We start from the raw sequence: 18,049 nt of genomic DNA on the forward strand, positions 1-18,049 counted from the left end.
TTTGGTTACATGAGTAAGTTCTTTAGCGGTGATTTGTGAGATTTTGGTGCACCCATCACCCGAGCAGTGTACACTGCACCCCATTTGTAGTTTTTTTTATCCCTTGCCTCCTTCCCACTCTTCCCCGCCAGGTCCCTAAAGTCCATTGCATCATTCTTATGCCTTTGGGTCCTTATAGCTTAGCTCCCACGTATCAGCGAGAACCATACGATGGTTTGGTTTTCCATTCCTGAGTTACCTCACTTAGAATAAATGGTCTCCAGTCTCATCCAGGTCACTGCAAATGCTGTTAATTCATTCCTTTTTATGACTAAGTAGTATTTCATCATATATATATATATATATATATATATATATATACACCACAGTTTCTTTATTCAGTCATTGACATTGATCGATGGGCATTTTGGTTGGTTCCATGATTTTGCAATTGTGAATTGTGCTGCTATAAACATGCGTGTGCAAGTATCTTTTGCATATAATGACTTCTTTTTGTTTGGGTAGTAATCCCACTACCCAGCAGTGGGATTGCTGGATCAAATGGTAGTTCTACTTTTAGTTCTTTAAGGAATCTCCACACTGTTTTCCATAGTGGTTGTACTAGATTACATTCCCACCAGCAGTGTAGAAGTGTTCCCTGTTCACTGCATCCACGCCAACATCAACTATTTTTTGATTATGGCCATTCTTGCATGAGGAAGGTGGTATCGCATTGTGGTTTTGATTTGTATTTCCCTTATCATTAGTAATGTTGAGCATTTTTTCATATGTTTGTTGGTCATTTGTATGTCTTCTTTTGAGAATTGTCTGTTCATGTCCTTAGCCCATTTTTTGATGGGATTTTTTTTTTCTTGCTGATTTGTTTGAGGTCATTGTAGATTCTGAATATTAGTCCTTTGTCAGATGTATAGACTGTGAAGATTTTCTTCCACTCTGTGGATTGTCTGTTTACTCTGCTGACTGTTCTTTTTGCCATGCAAAAACTCTTTAGTTTAATTAGGTCTCCACTATTTATCTTTGTTTTTATTGCACTTGCTTTTGGGTTCTTGGTCATGAAATCCTTGCCTAAGTCAACATCTAGAAGGGGTTTTCCAATGTTATCTTATAGAATTTTTATAGTTTCAGGTCTTAGGTTTAAGTTCTTAATCCATCTTTAGTTGATTTTTGTACAAGGTGAGAGATGAGGATCCAGTTTCATTCTCCTACATGTGGCTAGCTAATTATTCCAGCACCATTTGTTGAAAAGGGCGTCCTTTCCCCACTTTATATGTTTTTGTTTTCTTTGTCAAAGATTGGTTGGCTGTAAGTATTTGGGTTTATTTCTGGGTTCTCTATTCTGTTCCATTGGTCTATGTGCCTGTTTTTATACTAGTACCATGCTATTTTGGTGACTATGGCTTTATAGTATAGTTTGAAATCAGGTAGTGTGATGCCTCCAGATTTGTTCTTTTTGCTTAGTCTTGCTTTGGAAATGTGGGCTCTTTTTTGGTTCCATATAAATTTTAGGATTATTTTTTCTAATTCTGTGAAGAATGATGGTGATATTTTGATGGGGATTGCGTTGAATTTGTAGATTGCTTTTGGCAGTATGGTCATTTTCATAATATTAATTATATCCATCCATTAGCATGGGATGTGTTTCCATTTGTTTGTGTCATCTATGTTTCTTTCAGCAGCATTTGGTAGTTTTCCTTGTAGAGGTCTTTTGACTCCTTGGTTAGGTATATTCCTAAGAGGTTTTGGTAGGTTGTGTCATTATTGTCGTTCAGTTTGAAGATTTTTTTTTTTTTGGAAAAGGAGTCTCACTCTGCTGCCCAGGTTGGAGTCAGTGGCACGATCTCAGCTCACTGCATTCTCCGCCTCCCAGGTTCAAGTGATTCTTCTGCTTCAGTCTCCCAAGTAGCTGGGACTACAGGCATGCACCACCACGCCTGGCTAATTTTTGTGTGTGTGTTTTTTTTTCAGTAGAGATGGAGTTTCACCATATTGGCCAGGCTGGTCTTGAACTCCTGACCTTGTGATCTGCCCACCTCGGCCTCCCAAAGTGCTGGGGATTACAGGCATGAGCCACTGTGCCTGGCCTGAATAATTTTTTAATTTTTATCTTGATTTTGTTTTTTGATCCAGTGCTCATTCGGGAGCAGGTTATTTAATTTCCATGTATTTGCATGGTTTTGAAGGTTCTTTTTGGAGTTGATTTCCAGTTTTATTCCACTGTGGTCTGAGAGAGTGCTTGATATAATTTCAATTTTCTTAAATGTATTGAGGCTCATTTTATGGCCTATCATATGGTCTATCTTGGTCTATTCTGTGCGCTGTTGAATAGAATGTGTATTCTGCAGTTGTTGGATGAAATGTTCTGTATATATCTGTTAAGTCCATTTGTTCCAAGGTGTAGTTTAAATCCATTGTTTCTTTGTTGACTTTCTGTCTTGATGACCTGTCTAGTGCTATCAGTGGAGTATTGAAGTTCCTCACTATTATTGTGTTGCTGTCTATCTCATTTCTTAGGTCTATTCGTAATTGTTTTATAAATTGGGGAGCTCCAGTGTTAGGTGCATATATGTTTAGGATTGTGATATTTTTCTGTTGGATAAGGCCTTTTACCATTATATAATGTCCCTCTTTGTCTCTTTTAACTGCTGTTGCTTTAAAGTTTGTTTTGTCTGGTATAAGAATAGCTACTCCCACTTGCTTTTGATGTCCATTTGCATGAAATGACTTTTTCTACCCCTTTATTTTATGTGAGTCCTTATGTGTTAGGTGAGTCTTCTGAAGGCAGCAGATAGTTGATTGGTGAGTTCTTATGTATTCTGCAGTTCTGTATCTTTTAAGTGGAACATTTAGGCCATTTACATTCAATGTTAGTATTGAAATGTGAGGTACCATTGCATTAATCATGCTATTTGCTGCCTGTGTACTTTTGGTTTTTTGTTTTTTGCTTTTTAACTTTTATTTTTGTTTTATAGGTCCTGTGTGATGTATGCTTTAAAGAGGTTCTGCTTTGATGTGTTTCCAGGATTTGTTTCAAGATTTAGAGCTCCTTTTAGCAGTTCTTGTAGTGGTGGCTTGGTAGTGGCGAAATCTCTCAACATTTGCTTGTCTGAAAAAGACTGTATCTTTACTTGATATATGATGCTTAGTTTCGCTGGATACAAAATTCTTGGCTGATAATTGTCTTGTTTGAGGAGGCTGAAGATAGGGCCCCAATCCTGTCTAGCTTGTGGGTTTCTGCTGAGAAATCTGCTGTTAATCTGATAGGTTTTCCTTTAGAGGTTACCTGGTGCTTCTGTCTCACAGCTCTTAAGATTCTTTCCTTCATCTTAACTTTGGATAACCTGATGACAATGTGCCTAGGCAAAGATCTTTTTGTGATGAATTTCCCAGGTGTTCTTTGTGCTTCTTGTATTTGGATGTCTAGGTCTCTAGCAAGGCTAGGGAAGTTTTCTTCGATTATTCCCCCCAATATGTTTTCCAAGGTTTTAGATTTCTCTTCGTCCTCAGGAACACCAATTATTCTTAGGTTTCGTCGTTTAACATAATCCCAGACTTCTAGGAGGCTTTGTTCATATTTTCTTATTCTTTTTCCTTTGTCTTTGTTGGATTGGGTTAATTTGAAGACCTTGTCTTCGAGCTCTGAATTTCTTCTACTGGTTCAATTTATGGCTGAGACTTTCCAGAACATTTTGCATTTCTATAAGTGTGTCCAGTGTTTCCTGAATTTTTGATTGTTTTTTTCTTTAAGATATCTATTTCCTTGAATATTTCTCCCTTCACTTCTTGTATTGTTTTTTGGACTTCCTTGCACTGGGTTTTACTTTTCTCTGGTTCCTCCTTGATTAGCTTAATAACTAACCTCCTGAATCCTTTTTCAGATAATTCAAGGATTTCTTCTTGGTTTGGATCCATTGCTGGTGAACTAATGTGATTTTTGGGAGGTGTTGAAGGGCCTTGTTTTATCATATTACTAGGATTGGTTTTCTGATTCCTTCTCATTTGGGTAGGCTCTGTCACAGGAAGGTCTAGGGCTGAAGGCTGTCCAGATTCTTTTGTCCCACGGAGTATTCCCCTGATGTAATACTCTCCCCCTTTTCCTATGGATGTGGCTTCCTGTGAGCCGAACTGCAGTGATTGTTGTCTCTCTTCTGGGTCTAGCCACCCAGCGAGTCTACCCGGCTCCTGGCTGGTACTGGGTGTTGTCTGCACAGAGTCCTGTGATGTGAACCGTCTATGGGTCTCTCAGCCACGGGGAGAGAAGAATAGGCCAGCCCCTATTCTGGTGGAGGTGGCAATTGGGGCTGGGGGAAGGGTGCAATGGACTCCGTGAGGGTTCTTAGCTTTGGTGGTTTAATGCTCTATTTTTGTGCTGTTTGACCTCCTGCTGGGAGGTGGTGCTTTCCAGAAAGCATCAGCTGTGGTAGTGTGTAGAGGAACTGGCAGTGGGCGGGGCCCTAGAATTCCCAAGATTATATGCCCTTTGTCTTCTGCTACCAGGGTGGGTAGGGAGGGACCCTCAGGTGAGGGCAGGGCTAGGCATGTCTGAGCTCAGGCTCTCCTTGGGCAGTCCTTGCTGTGGCTGCTGTGGGGGATGGGGGTGAGATTCCCAGGTCGCTGGAGTTGTGTACCTAGGAGGATTATGTCTGCCTCTGCTGAGTCATGCAGGCTGTCAGGGAAGTGGGGGAAAGCTGGCAGTCACAGGCCTCACCCAGCTCTGGTGGGAGGTGTTTGGATCATGGGGGTGGGTACTCATGAATGGCTTGGGCTGTCCCCTTGGTGATGAGTGAGCTCACACTCTGAGTTTACATGAGATCTGGTCATTTAAAAGTGTGCAGCACTTCCTCCTGCCCAGCTCTCTCTCTCGCTTCTACTTGCACCGTGTGAAATGCCTGCTCCTGCTTTGCCTTCTGCCGTGAGTAAAAGCTTCCGGAGGCCTCCCCAGAAGCCAAGTGATGTCAGCACCATGCTTGTACAGCTTGCGGAACAATGAGCCAATTAAACCTCTTTTCTTTATAAATTACCCAGTGTCAGTTATTTCTTTATAGCAATGCAAGAACAGCCTAACACACTGGTACTCAGGTGATGGCTTTTATGTCACAGTTAGGCCCTCAGAGTTCTCTCGGAAGATGGAGACTGTGAGCCCACGGCAGTACTTCTCGTCCTGAGGCTGGACCCTGCACCTTCAGGTCTCCCAGTGACCAGCCTCTCTGCCTCCCTGGGGTGGCCAAGGGGACTGAATGGACTCCGTACTCCTGATGCTCCCTCATGCTCATGTTCAGCCAAGAACATCCCATAATAAAACTCCCTGAGGCCAAAGCCTTGGTGATACAGCTCTAGGTGTCACAGCTCTTGGTGACACAGCTCTTGGTGACACAGCTCTAGGTATCACAGCTCTTGGTGTCACATCTCTAGGTGTCACAGCTCTTGGTGACACAGCTCTTGGTGTCACAGCTCTAGGTGTCACAGCTCTTGGTGACACAGCTCTAGGTATCACAGCTCTTGGTGTCACAGCTCTTGGTGACACAGCTCTTGGTCTCACAGCTCTAGGTGTCACAGCTCTTGGTGACACAGCTCTAGGTATCACAGCTCTTGGTGTCACAGCTCTTGGTGACACAGCTCTAGGTATCACAGCTCTTGGTGTCACAGCTCTTGGTATCACAGCTCTTGGTGTCACAGCTCTTGGTGACACAGCTCTTGGTGACACAGCTCTAGGTATCATAGCTCTAGGTATCACAGATTTTGGTGACACAGTTCTTGGTGTCACAGATCTTGGTGACACAGCTCTAGGTATCACAGCTCTTGGTGACACAGTTCTTGGTGTCACAGCTCTTGGTGACACAGCTCTTGGTGACATAGCTCTAGGTATCACAGCTCTAGGTGTCACATCTCTTGGTGTCACAGCTCTTGGTGACTCAGCTCTAGGTGTCACATCTCTTGGTGACACAGCTCTAGGTATCACAGCTCTTGGTGACACAGCTGTTGGTGTCACAGCTCTTGGTGTCACAGCTCTTGGTGACACAGCTCTAGGTATCACAGCTCTTGGTGACACAGCTCTAGGTATCACAGCTCTTGGTGACACAGCTGTTGGTGTCACAGCTCTTGGTGACACAGCTCTAGGTATCACAGCTCTTGGTGACACAGCTGTTGGTGTCACAGCTCTTGGTGACACAGCTCTTGGTGACACAGCTCTTGGTGTCACAGCTCTCGGTGACACTGCTCTAGGTGTCACAGCTCTTGGTGACACAGCTCTAGGTATCACAGCTCTAGGTGTCACAGCTCTTGGTGTCACAGCTCTTGGTGACACAGCTCTTGGTGTCACGGATCTAGGTATCACAGCTCTTGGTGACACATCCCGTCCACTCCTATGTGTAGTAGCCATTTTCCTTTTAGCACATACACTGTGACAGAGGTTGGGGCAATGAGGTGTCAGTGTCACCTGCACCCTGCCCCAGGACTGGCAATTCCTTCACTGCCAAGGCCCTGCTGCTGTGTCCAAATCCATCCTTCAGACCTCTCTGCCCCATCATTGTGATGAGTGTCCCTATTGTCCTTTTCCATCCTTGGGTCTCACATAGGGTTATGCTAGTTCATGAGTCATATTTTGATATCTTCGGCCTTTCAACAGAAATGGTAAGGTGCTTAGTCTTTCTTCTAGGTCTTCTGCCTCTTTGTAAATTCATGGTTGCAAAATGATGCCTGGAGTCAGGGCAACACCCAGTAGCCTCCGTGGCTGGAAGGCAGACAGACAGGCTGATGGAAGGGAACATCTATCTCCTCCACCAGTGGTGTCCAGGGCTCAGACTCTTGCCTTACTCTCCATTATGAGAGGATAACGAAGGGAATGACTGAATGCCGTATATAGTACCCCTTACTTGAAGGTCTCTGTGTCTGCCCTCAAGAATCCTCTCTGACTAGATTCCATGTATTTCTCTTTATGCGTGGGAAACTTCTGCAATTGCCATGAGGATTTGTGTATCGATGACCGTGATTCTAGAGGGATTCGCTCCAAAAGCACCACCTCTAGAGTGGGTTCTGTCTCTCTCCTGACCCCAGGGTGATGCCTTCATGATGAAGTGACAATTCTTCCTGGAACATTCACTCATTGTCTCCTTACTCATGAACCTGCTGCTCTGAGGGTAAAATTTCGGTTCTCAGTTCTTAAAAGCATTTTCTTCAATGTTTCTGTCCTGTGCTTTTGAGCAGAACCACCTCTGGTTCTGAGCCTTCATAGGGAGTGCCCCCTGCATATGGAGGGAGTGTTTGTCAGTGCCTGCTCCTCAGGATCGGAGGTGAGCTGCTGGAAAAATGACATCATTCCAGAGCCAGAGAGAAGTTTACTCAGAACGTTGCCAAACAGCTTTGGAAAAAAAAAATAGGCCAGGTATGGTGGCTCACACCTGTAATTCCAACACTCTGGGAGGCCAAGGTGGGAGGATCACTTAAGTCCAGGAGTTTGAGACCAGCCTAGGCAACGTAGTGAAATCCTGTCTCTACAAGAAATAGAAAAAAATTAGCTGGGTGTGGTGGTGCATGCTTTTAGTCTTAGCTACTCTGGAGGCTGAGGTGGGAGGATTGCCTGGGCTCAGGAGGTCAAGGATGCAGTGAGCTGAATTGCACTCTAGCCTGGGCAACAGAGTGAGACCCCGTATCAAAAAAAAAAATGAAGAAAAATATTTAGCAAGGATAAAATATTATTAGCTCATTGGCACCAGTGATAGTGAAACATGTTTATGAGAAAAACAAACTCTGTACAACATGTGAAGAGGTTTATTCTGAGCCAGTATGAGTGACCAGAAATTACGGGCAAAGACATAAATTCATATATGGAAGGTGCACATTTGTTCAGCCTAAAGAGGCAGGATATCTTGAAGAGGCGGAGACTTATAGGTCATAGGTGGATTCAATGATTTGGCAATTGGCAATTGATTGAGTTGGCAATTGGTTGAATTAAACTTTGTCTAAAGGTTCGAAGACAGCAGAAAGAAATGCTTAGTTATGATGAGGAGGTTGTGGAAGCCAAGGTTCTTGTCAGTTAGATGAAGCCTCCAAGTAGCAGCCTTCAGAGAGAATAGAGGGCAAATGTCCCTTTTAGGGCCTTAACGTTTCAGACTCTTAGTTAATCTCTTCTAGATCTGGGAACGGCCTGGCTGCATAAATGGAGATTCTTTCCAGATGCAAATTTCCCCCATGAAAGATGGCTTTGCAGGACCATTTCAAAATGTGTCAAGTAAATACATGTTGGGAGAAAATATTTTTATTTTCTTCAGAGCCTCTCTGCTATGTGGTGCTATACCAGAGTCAGGTTGGAATTTGGCATCTTAATGCCACAAAGAGTCTTCTTTCAGTCTTCTTTAAGTCTTATGATCTGTATTTTAATGTTAATGCTGGTCAGTTTTCCCTAAACTCCAAAAGGCCGGGGAGCGGGTGAGACGGAGTATGCTGGATGAAGTATGCCTAGCCTTCTTTCCTTTCGTGGCCAGGAAATCAGTTTTTCAGGTTCCTCCAGAGTTCTCTTGGCCCTGGAGGAGGTCTGTTCAGTCTGTTGAGGAGTTAGGATTTTATTTTTGGTTTATAAACATAAGCTTTCTAAAGATTCAAGTGCTCCTTGGTGTGTTTTGTGTTAGCTGCTTAAAGAAGAGCATGTGAGTCCAGAATGGAGCCTAGTTAGTGATGGATACAGAAACCAGGGGCATTGGTGATAGAAATATGTCACCCAGTGCTGTGCGGCATCACTGAACACTGACCTCGGCCTCCTGTGATGAGCAAGGAATGGCTGCATGAAAGGCTGCTGAAATCCTTTCCTTTGCTTTTGCTAATAAAAATCATATTTAAAGTGTCCTAGATATGTAAAAAGATTCTATGGGGAATTGTTTCATAATAAAAAGAATGGTGATCACATGTAAACATTCCTAATTTATTAACTACGATTTTATAATCAACATTATTGAGGTATAATTTACATACAGTAAAAGGCATCCATTTACATTGCACCATTCGATTTATTTAAAGTGTTCAATTAGCTGAGTTTTGTACACACCCATGAAGTCACTGCCAAAATTTAAGAAACACAATATTTCCATTTACCCTTGAAAGTTTCCTTCTGAAGTTTTTCTCTTTCTGTCCCTGGCCTCATGCAACCACTGATCTGACTGATCTGCTTTTTGTCACTGTGGACTTAGTTGCATTTTCTAGACTTTTACAAGTAGTATCATGCAGTATAGACTCTTTGAGTCTGGCTTTTAAAATCTATCATAATGACTTTAAGAGTCACCCGTGAGGTTGCATGTATCAGCTGTCCACACCCCCGACTCTTTCACCATGCTTTTTTCTTTGGTTGAGTACTATTCTTTCATATGACTATATCACAGTTTGTTTATCCATACCTATTGATGAGCATCTGGATTGTTTTAGTTTTTAGTTATTTTGAGTAATGCTGCTGTGAACATTCATGTACAAGTCTCTGTGTAGGCTTACATTTTCATTTATTTGGGGTAAATACCTAGGAGTAGACTGACTGGATCCTATGGAAGGTATTTGCTTACCTTTTTTTCTTTTTGAGACAGTCTTACTGTTGTCCAGGCTGGAGTGCAATGATGTGATTTCTGCTCACTGCAACCTCCCCCTCCTGGTTCAAGCGATTCTCCTGCATCAGCCTCCCAAGTAGTTGGGACTACAGGCACACACCACCATGCCCAGCTAATTTTTGTATCTTTAGTAGAGATGGGGTTTCACCATGTTGGCCAGGCTGGTCTTGAACTCCTGACCTCAAGTGATCCACCCTCCTCAGCCTCACAAAGTGTTGAAATTACAGGTGTGAGCCACTGCACCCAGCCATGTGGTTTCCTTTTTAAGAGACTGCCGTAGAGTTTTTCTAAATGGTTGTACCATTTTGCATCCTCACTGGCAGTGTATGAGAGTTCTAGTTGCTCCACATCCTTGCCAACATTTTGCATTGTCGATTTTAAGAAAAGTGTAAATTCATGCAAATTGATGGTTCAAATGTATATAATTATGTATATTACAAATAATACTGGAGAATTTTTGTTTTTTAGTGACAAGTTTTTGAATTTCCCCTTCCTTTTCTTTTCTTGTGTTATGTTAAATTGAACACTTAGGAAAGTAAATTTGAATTCTTAAAGTCATAAGGACCTTTTAACCTATTATAGCTGTGGTTAACTTTTAGTATCCTGGCAGGGAAAACTTTATTTCTTAAATATCTAAATTACAACTAGAGAGAAAAAAGAAAAGGAAAAAAAATGATTAAAAGTTGTATAGAGGAGGCGGCTTAGGTTGGAATGTGGTAATTTCCACCATAGTCCTAATTATGTATGGTTGTGTTGCTGCTCTCAAACCATAGCACTGCTTATAGGTTTCACAGGCTGGCACCAAGTTGAGCCACACCACTCTTGCTAACCTCTATGATGCTTTCTCCAATTTTTCATTCTCCACTGTTACTTACTCTGGGCATTTTAAGAGAGGCTTCTAGAAGACTGAGGGTCCTGAGAAGTTGGCAGTGGCTGTGACCAATTCTCCAGCTTGCCTGGAGGCCTCGTTGTTGCCTATGACTGCCTGTCCTGTGACGTTATCAGCAAACAAAGCAGCTGGCATGGGGTGCAGGGGGAAGGCCTGGGGGAGAAGGAAGGCAAGGTTGGGGTGGTCACTGAAGCACCATCTGGCTCTAGCAAGGACACGGGGAAGTTTGGAGTTCAGCTCCAGCTGGACTTTAAGAATGTATGGGGCTCCATTGTAAGGTGAATGAATGTGAAGAGTGCAGAGAGAAGGAGACGCAAGGAAGAGAGTGAGAAAAAAAAAGAAGGAAAAACTTTATGATCAAAGAAAAGAGTTTTTTTCTAATACGAAAATGATATACAGCAGTTTCCTTTTCTTTTTTTTTTTTTTTTGGTTTTAAGGAGAGAAAATTTATTAGGCAAGAAAGAAGGAAGAAAGGAAGAAGAAAACGGCTCCTTCATACAGAGACAGAGGGAGGGGGGGATTTGAACAGAGAAAACCCCCAGTTTCCCCTTTTTATAGTAAGAATAAAACACATTCACTGATAACCTCTGCATACTACTGCAATAGCATTTTTGGAGGTGGAGTCCCAGCACCGTCGGAATGATCCCTGGCATCTGGATGTGTCAGCCCATCAGTGCATCCTCACCTAAAGCACAGCATGTGTGGGGTGACAACTGGGTGAAGGGGAGAATGAGCCCCGGGGTTAGACCGGGAGCCTGCCTCTGAGGCTTCCTGACCTCGACTTCCCTGGGCCTGTTTCCTTATCTGTCATGCTGCGGTGATAACGCCCTCATCACAGGGCTTCTGTGAAGATCAGAATGAGACAATGTGAGAGTCTTTTTGTTCATAACACATATTTTCACATTTGTCAGTTTGTTCATGAGAGTTCAGTTCTGAACAATGTCTCTTTATCATCTATCTTCAAGAGCGTAGTGGGAATATAGGATTAGAAAAAAATTTTTGGTTTGGGTATCTTTTCCTTCTGTTGTTTTGACTATCAGCAGCCCTGATACTTGTAGACAGGCAGTGCTTGAAGGAGAAAGATCTTGGCTCACAGAAGTTTAATCCTTTCCATTTAATGACTGTAGCTTAGCATATTTTAGTTATCGTCATTTTGGATTTCATACTATCTGGCCTCACAGAATTGCACCAAACCTGTCCTGACCCCTGATACTCTCCACAATTTTTTTGCCAGTAAACCCTGTAATGAGTTTTGTTACCAGGATGCATGATGTTTCCATGCCTACAAGTCCTGTTTTCCAAACTGGCTGTTCTCAGGCTGGCAAGAGTGAGCTGATTTCACTCCAGAAACATTTTAAACTTCCTGAAAGATTAAGTGGCTATGAGCACTCCCACAGGGCCTCTGCAGTGTTCTTTGTTAGGGTCAAGGTTCATGCTTTCTTTACCAGTTTGATGATTTTTCTGTAATTCTCTATCTGAGAGGTGATGTCTATGTGAAGGTATTCTGTAGCTGCCAATCTAAAGGCCCATTTTCCTACTGTCTCTCCTTCCTTCTAACGCTTCGATCTCCAGACACTTTGTCAGTGATTCTGGCTTCCAGAACGCCTACCTGTTCTAGGGGAACATGTAATCTGTGAACAGCCTTGGACGAGCTTCCCATGGCGTTTGACACTCAAGGCTAAAAATAGCAAGATGAGGCCTGAAGCATTCTCCAAGGAAATGAAATCGAATCACGTAACTGGATTATTCTTGGTTATCTTGCAGATATCCGCGTGACCAGACGTCTACAAATGGTGGTGAGATCATTTCTCGTCGCCTCTTAATCTGTTGGCAGCTGACTTCTGAAAACGTCTTCAGAGTTTTTTCTTTTTTCCCCAAACCAAGGGCAGCCAGCAATTTTGAAACTTTGCATATTGGATTGTCATTGTGACTTCCACAAGTAATTTTGCAAAGTTCATTTTTCTTTCTTTCCTCATTTCAGACTTTTTTTTTTTTGGAGGGGGTGGGGGTGGTTTTACTTTTTCACAGTGGTTGCTAAGAAAGAATCTTCTGTTTATAGGCTCCTAACAAATAGTGACAGCTGAAAGACAAATATGGTGCTGTGTTTGCAGGACGATGGAAGGGGGCCAGCAACCCGCAGCCTCCAGGCACACACACTCACAAGGAGGCCTTTGAGAGTGCTGCCTGGCATTGTGGGTCCACAGATTGCTTGAAATCATTAAAAAAGGCGTTTGCCTCATACTTTCAATGACAACTTATTTCCAGGGGTCCACCAGCATTGTACAAATCGATAGGATTGTCAAGTTTTTTGTTTTTTGTTTTTGGATCTCAAAGCTTTTGCTTAACAGGGGCCGAAACACAGAAAGATTTGAATCTACTTTCACAACAGCGTTCTTTGACCTTTGGGTCATACGCTGGAGTGTCATAAACCAAGAAGCCAGGGGTAGGTTCATTCATGTTCACCTTTCTTTGTTTGGGAGAATTTCCTCCATTCTAGTGTGGTCCTAGAGCAGGATGGTGGCGAATGGGCTGCAGTTTAGAAAAACATTATGCAAAGAAAAGAGAAAGTGATTGTGTCTTTCTATCTAAGGCCAGCATATAAATGGGTATTTGGGTTCTTCGTTTCATAGTTTCGGTCTGAAGGAAATGGTTACCTGGGGTAACATAGAAGACCCTGAAATTATAACTACTGAAAAGGAGGCCTAGTGGAGGTGGGCTGAGCATGTCACCCTTGGCCAAGGATCACAACACAAGGTCAGAATAGCAGTGGGTGATGCCGTGCTGATGACTAGGATGACACACAGACAGCCCAGTGGGCTCCAGGCACTCTTATAAGCACCCTTTATGCACATATCAGTACTCAACACAGCACTGGCGGGTAGGCATTGCTACGAATCCGATTTACAAGGAAACGGATGGCAGAAATACCTTGTCCAAAATACACAGTACATGGCAAAGCTGTGGTTTGAATCCAGGCGGTTTGGGTCAGACCTGGTGCTTAAAGCTCAGCACTACGCTTCCTGTCTTGGGATCCCAGTGCTTCTCAAAGCCTGAGATTTTGTTCTCTATTTCTTTCTTTTTCTTTTTCTTTTTCTTTTTTTTTTTTTGAGATGGAGTCTGGCTCTTTCACCCGAGCTTGAGTACAGTGGTGCGGTCTCGGCTCACTGCAACCTCCGCCTCCCAGGTTCAAGCAATTCTCCGGCCTCAGCCTCCCAAGGAGCTGGGATTACAGGCATGCATCACCACACCCGGCTAATTTTTGTACTTTTAGTAGAGATAGGGTTTTGCCATGTTGGCCAGTCTCATCTTGAACTCCTGACTTCAGGTGATCCACTTGCCTTGGCCTCCCCGAAGTGCTAGGATTACAGGCATGAGCCACTGGGCCTGGCCTTGTTCTCTGTTTATCAACAGCACCTCTACTTCTGGGGAGACTGCCTGAAGAGGGTTTTTCACTAACTTAGTAGGAGAGAATGCCTTTCCTGCCTCTTCTTTTCTCCTAACCCTTCTCTGAAAAATGTCTTTGTGTGTAGAATCCCGGAATGACTGGAGGAAACACATGGAACTTTGATGTGAAAAGGACATTAAAAGATTTAGTGTCAATTTTTTCAACACAACACACAGCACAGAATCTGAACTTCCCAATTCATTGTCACCATTCTGAATTTTCTTTTTCATCCCAGAAGTGTTGGATTGGTCATTTGGTTTGGGTTCTATGTCAGAAACCATTTGCAGACAAATGGCAAGGCAGGGCTCAGACAGTCCTCAGAGGGGACATTTGTGAGATTTTGATTCTGCTGGAAAGCTGAGATATGCATTTGTCTGTAGGAAACTGATGAAGCAGGGTTGTCATTGCCTTCAAAATGAAATTTATACATGGGGTTGGCCGGGCTCCTCTTTCCTTCTTATACTCCAACAGGTGATTTTGCAAATGTGACTCTGTCTGTAATTCCTTCCTGCTCTTCTTCCCCTAGAAAATTCTCGTATAAATTTTCTCTTTTCCCAACTCAGAGATACTTTATATTCTCATTCAAAAACGAACTGGAAGAGTAAAATACTAGGAAAAACATAAAAGTTCCTACAAACAAGAGACTACCCTGCACTGTTTGAGGCTGAGTGGAGATGTACTGTTCATCTTATACTCATCTCTGTCATATGATTATTTTATGAAATGCCCATGGTGTTACTTTAAAATAGAAATCTAGTTAATTAGACAGAACACAACTTCAACTAATTTTAATATTTATTGAGCGTAACATGTACATGGCAAGGATCTGAGGGTGGCCTTGGGAAGCCCCCACCTGGGCAGTGGGGGAGAGGTGGGATTGATAACGTAGGAGAGATGAGATGCATGCAGGGGCTGGAATAGAAGCCAAAAAATGCTCCGTGTAGCAGCAAGATGATCTTCTTACCAGAGCACAGAGGAAGCAGTAGGAGGAAACGGTGGACACATTGGCGAAGAGTTCAATATTTCAGCTGAATTTTGAAGGATTCATTCACTTCTATGCTGGTGGCCATGACAGGTGCAGAGCATACGGTGGGGGAAAAAGGCCCAGGCCCACCCCCAGAGCAGACACAGAGCTGCTGAGAGGACCATGAGCTGGCTGAGGACTGAGCTGGCAAGAGGAGACTGCCATGGGCAGTGATCTTCATGGCTGGAGGCACAGATGAGCTTGGATGTTGGCAGCAGGAGGAGCTGTCATTCGCCAAGAGTCCAGTCGAGACCAGTCGTCCTTGAGGGGCACTGACCCAGAGACCGGGGTCGTCAGGCCACACCCTGCAGGGGCCAGCATAGAAGGCAGCCCACACTCCCACCACTGCCAGGAGGACTCCACGGGTTTTCTCTATCCCCAGACCATCTTGGGAAGGAAGAAGGGAGGGGAGAAATCGCCTGCTAGCGAGTGTACTTGGAGCTTGATGAGTGTTTACCAAAATTAAATTGTCTTAAACTGGAAAAATCTGAGATAATATTGATCACTGAATTTGAGGGAAAGTAAAATTTTACTGCCACCATGCAGCGGGGAGTTCACAGGGACAATTGAGTGGGTTACATAGTGTATGATTCTATCTGTATGAAATATCTAAAGCAGGCAAATCTGCAGAGACAGAAAGTTGATTAGTGGTTGCCAGGGGATGGGTGAAGGAGGAGGGGAGTAACTGCTAATGGGTACAGGGCTTTTTTTTTTTTGTGATAAAAATGTTTTAGAATTAGATAATGGTGATGGCTGCACAACTTTGCAAATATACTAAAAACCACTCAGTTGTACACGTCATAGGGCTGTGGCCTGTGAATTATATCTCAGTTAAAAAATGCAAAAAGATTAGATTGGTTAAACAAAATAAGGAAGCTACCATTTTTTTTTCACACATTTGAGTAGCAGTGTGAGTAAAGTCTCATACTGCTAGCTGATAATCATTAATCATTAATGATAATCATTAATAAAACATTGATTTTCCAAATATCTGAATCTGATACCATGTTGGGTAATAGCTATATCTAACTTTACATTATTTCTACTAAAATAATAAACTTCAGACAGAACTCAATTGGTAATCAGAATTCAACTCGACTAGCACTGGAAGCAAAAAAGTACTTAGACAACTATGGAAATACAAAGCCATGCACAAAGTGTACGAACCCAACGTGAGACGACACACGTCAATCAGGTGCTTTCAGTTAAGTCAGTACTTTGCCTTTTTATTTCTTTCATGCTTTGAAGATAAGAAATGAAAAACTGTATTTTCTAACTCAGAGTGCTTGTTACAAACACACACATTGTACTTCTTACTGCCATTAAAGTTTGTACTCAGTACAAATTTTTGAATTTTGAAAATTTTCTTTCTTTCCTTTCAGGTCTATTAATATTTTTATAACAGTAAACTTGTAAGTGGAAAATATATTACTGTTATTCTGTTTTAAGAGCAAGACTAAATGCGAGCCATTTCTTTTACTGTTTCTATCATTCCTGCAGTTGGCCTGGCTGGAAGCCTTGTAGTCACCACCGACTCTACCACTTCCTTCAATCCCTAAAGCCAACCAGTGGCCAAGTCTTGCTTATTTTATTTTTGTAACGTCTGTCACGTGTATTCCCGCTCCTGCTGCCCTGATCTGGTCGATCACTTCTCCCCACCGGGACTAGGATCACCGCTGGCTCTCGGCTTCCATCTTGCTCCTCTGAAATCCCCCAGAATCACCTTCTGAAAGCTTCCTGCTGCCCAGGTCACCTCCCGCATGCTCTCCCGCTGCATTTCACTCGATTAAACCATTGTTTCCTTCTGCACCAAAGTTTATTTTCTTTACAGAGCTATGTCATTTCCCACATTTCTTTCTTTTCATAACTCTGTCTTGTTTTTGTCAACTAGAGAATTTATGATTTTAAAATCCTTTTTAGAAGAATCACCCTTTTATTTATTTATTTATTTTTTTTTTTTGAGACGGAGTTTCGCTCTGTCGCCCAGGCTGGAGTGCAGTGGCGCGATCTCGACTCACTGCAAGCTCCACCTCCCGGGTTCACGCCATTCTCCTGCCTCAGCCTCCAGAGTAGCTGGGACTACAGGCACCCACCACCACACCCGGCTAATTTTGTGTGTTTTTAGTAGAGACGAGGTTTCACCGTGTTAGCCAGGATGGTCTCGATCTCCTGACCTCGTGATCCGCCCGTCTCGGCCTCCCAAAGTGCTGGGATTACAGGCGTGAGCCACCGCGCCTGGCCGAATCACCCTTTTTTTGAAGCTTCTTGAACATTTACTGCTCACTTTCTCTGTAGAGCGGGTTATCTCTGTTAGCCGCCTGAAATCCTTTCCGGAACAAGATGGCATTTGGTGTCTTGATTATTGATCTTGGTGTCCTGTAAGTTTCATGCCCAGGGCAGGAAGCTGGGGTGCATCAGAACTGCTGCTCTCTGAAGCAACTTGAGTACTTAGAGAAATGTCATATATTACAAATAAAAATCAGACATTTTAATTCTTATCTCTATATTTTTTTTTCTATATTTTGCACTGGTTTCTTTTAATTCTCTTCTTTGTTTCAGCATCCTCCAAGTCTTCGTTCAAAGCCTTCTCCCTTTCCTGATGTCTCTCTGTTTTAGTTAGGTATATATTTAGGCTGCCTCTTTTTCTTAAATAATTTTATAATGAAGACAAGCTCTTAAGATAATTTTATTTTTCTTTTTCTTTCTTTTTTTTTTTTTTTTAGAGACAGTGTCTTGCTCTGTCGTTCAGGCTGGAGGACAGTGGTGCAATCATAGCTCACTGTAACCTCAACTCCTGGGCTCAAGCACCTCAGCCTCCTGTCAGCTGGGACTACAGACACGTGCCACCTGCCTAATTTTTTATTTTTATTTTTTTGTAGGAGATGGGGCCTCGACATGTTGCCCAGACTGGTCTCAAACTCCTAGGCTCAAAGGATCCTACTGCCTCTGCCTCCCAAAGACGTGGGATTACAGGCATGAGCCACCCGCCTCTTTATTTTGCTTTTATGAGTCAAAAACATTTGTCTCTTCTCCCTTAGCATTCATCTAAGTATATATTTTATAGGAGAAAGGCCAAGGGGAAGATCAGGGTGATGTTCAGTATTAATATA

General features: G+C 42.9%; 8 annotated features.

Moving 5' to 3' along the window:
* Positions 3,763 to 4,609: an enhancer, noted in NCBI's record as "H3K27ac hESC enhancer chr4:186480278-186481124 (GRCh37/hg19 assembly coordinates)". NCBI's record gives its function as "activates a minimal SCP1, AML or CMV promoter by ChIP-STARR-seq in naive H9 embryonic stem cells {active_cell/tissue: H9 hESC(naive)}" and the evidence as "EXISTENCE:reporter gene assay evidence [ECO:0000049][PMID:30033119]".
* Positions 3,763 to 4,617: a biological region, named in NCBI's record as "H3K27ac hESC enhancer GRCh37_chr4:186480278-186481124".
* Positions 4,498 to 4,617: an enhancer, noted in NCBI's record as "active region_22262". NCBI's record gives its function as "activates an Ori minimal core promoter by ATAC-STARR-seq in GM12878 lymphoblastoid cells {active_cell/tissue: GM12878}" and the evidence as "EXISTENCE:reporter gene assay evidence [ECO:0000049][PMID:35858748]".
* Positions 4,610 to 5,454: an enhancer, noted in NCBI's record as "H3K27ac hESC enhancer chr4:186481125-186481969 (GRCh37/hg19 assembly coordinates)". NCBI's record gives its function as "activates a minimal SCP1, AML or CMV promoter by ChIP-STARR-seq in naive H9 embryonic stem cells {active_cell/tissue: H9 hESC(naive)}" and the evidence as "EXISTENCE:reporter gene assay evidence [ECO:0000049][PMID:30033119]".
* Positions 4,658 to 4,707: an enhancer, noted in NCBI's record as "active region_22263". NCBI's record gives its function as "activates an Ori minimal core promoter by ATAC-STARR-seq in GM12878 lymphoblastoid cells {active_cell/tissue: GM12878}" and the evidence as "EXISTENCE:reporter gene assay evidence [ECO:0000049][PMID:35858748]".
* Positions 4,858 to 4,907: an enhancer, noted in NCBI's record as "active region_22264". NCBI's record gives its function as "activates an Ori minimal core promoter by ATAC-STARR-seq in GM12878 lymphoblastoid cells {active_cell/tissue: GM12878}" and the evidence as "EXISTENCE:reporter gene assay evidence [ECO:0000049][PMID:35858748]".
* Positions 9,267 to 16,117: an enhancer, noted in NCBI's record as "VISTA enhancer hs2502". NCBI's record gives its function as "enhancer in: heart[9/9]" and the evidence as "EXISTENCE:transgenic organism evidence [ECO:0001131][PMID:17130149]".
* Positions 15,000 to 15,177: a silencer, noted in NCBI's record as "fragment chr4:186491515-186491692 (GRCh37/hg19 assembly coordinates)". NCBI's record gives its function as "represses an EF-1alpha promoter that drives an FKBP-Casp9 reporter gene in an ReSE screen in HepG2 liver carcinoma cells {active_cell/tissue: HepG2}" and the evidence as "EXISTENCE:reporter gene assay evidence [ECO:0000049][PMID:32094911]".

This window comes from Homo sapiens, chromosome 4 (genome assembly GCF_000001405.40).
Source record: "Homo sapiens chromosome 4, GRCh38.p14 Primary Assembly".
In the NCBI taxonomy this organism is placed as follows: Eukaryota; Metazoa; Chordata; class Mammalia; order Primates; family Hominidae; genus Homo; species Homo sapiens.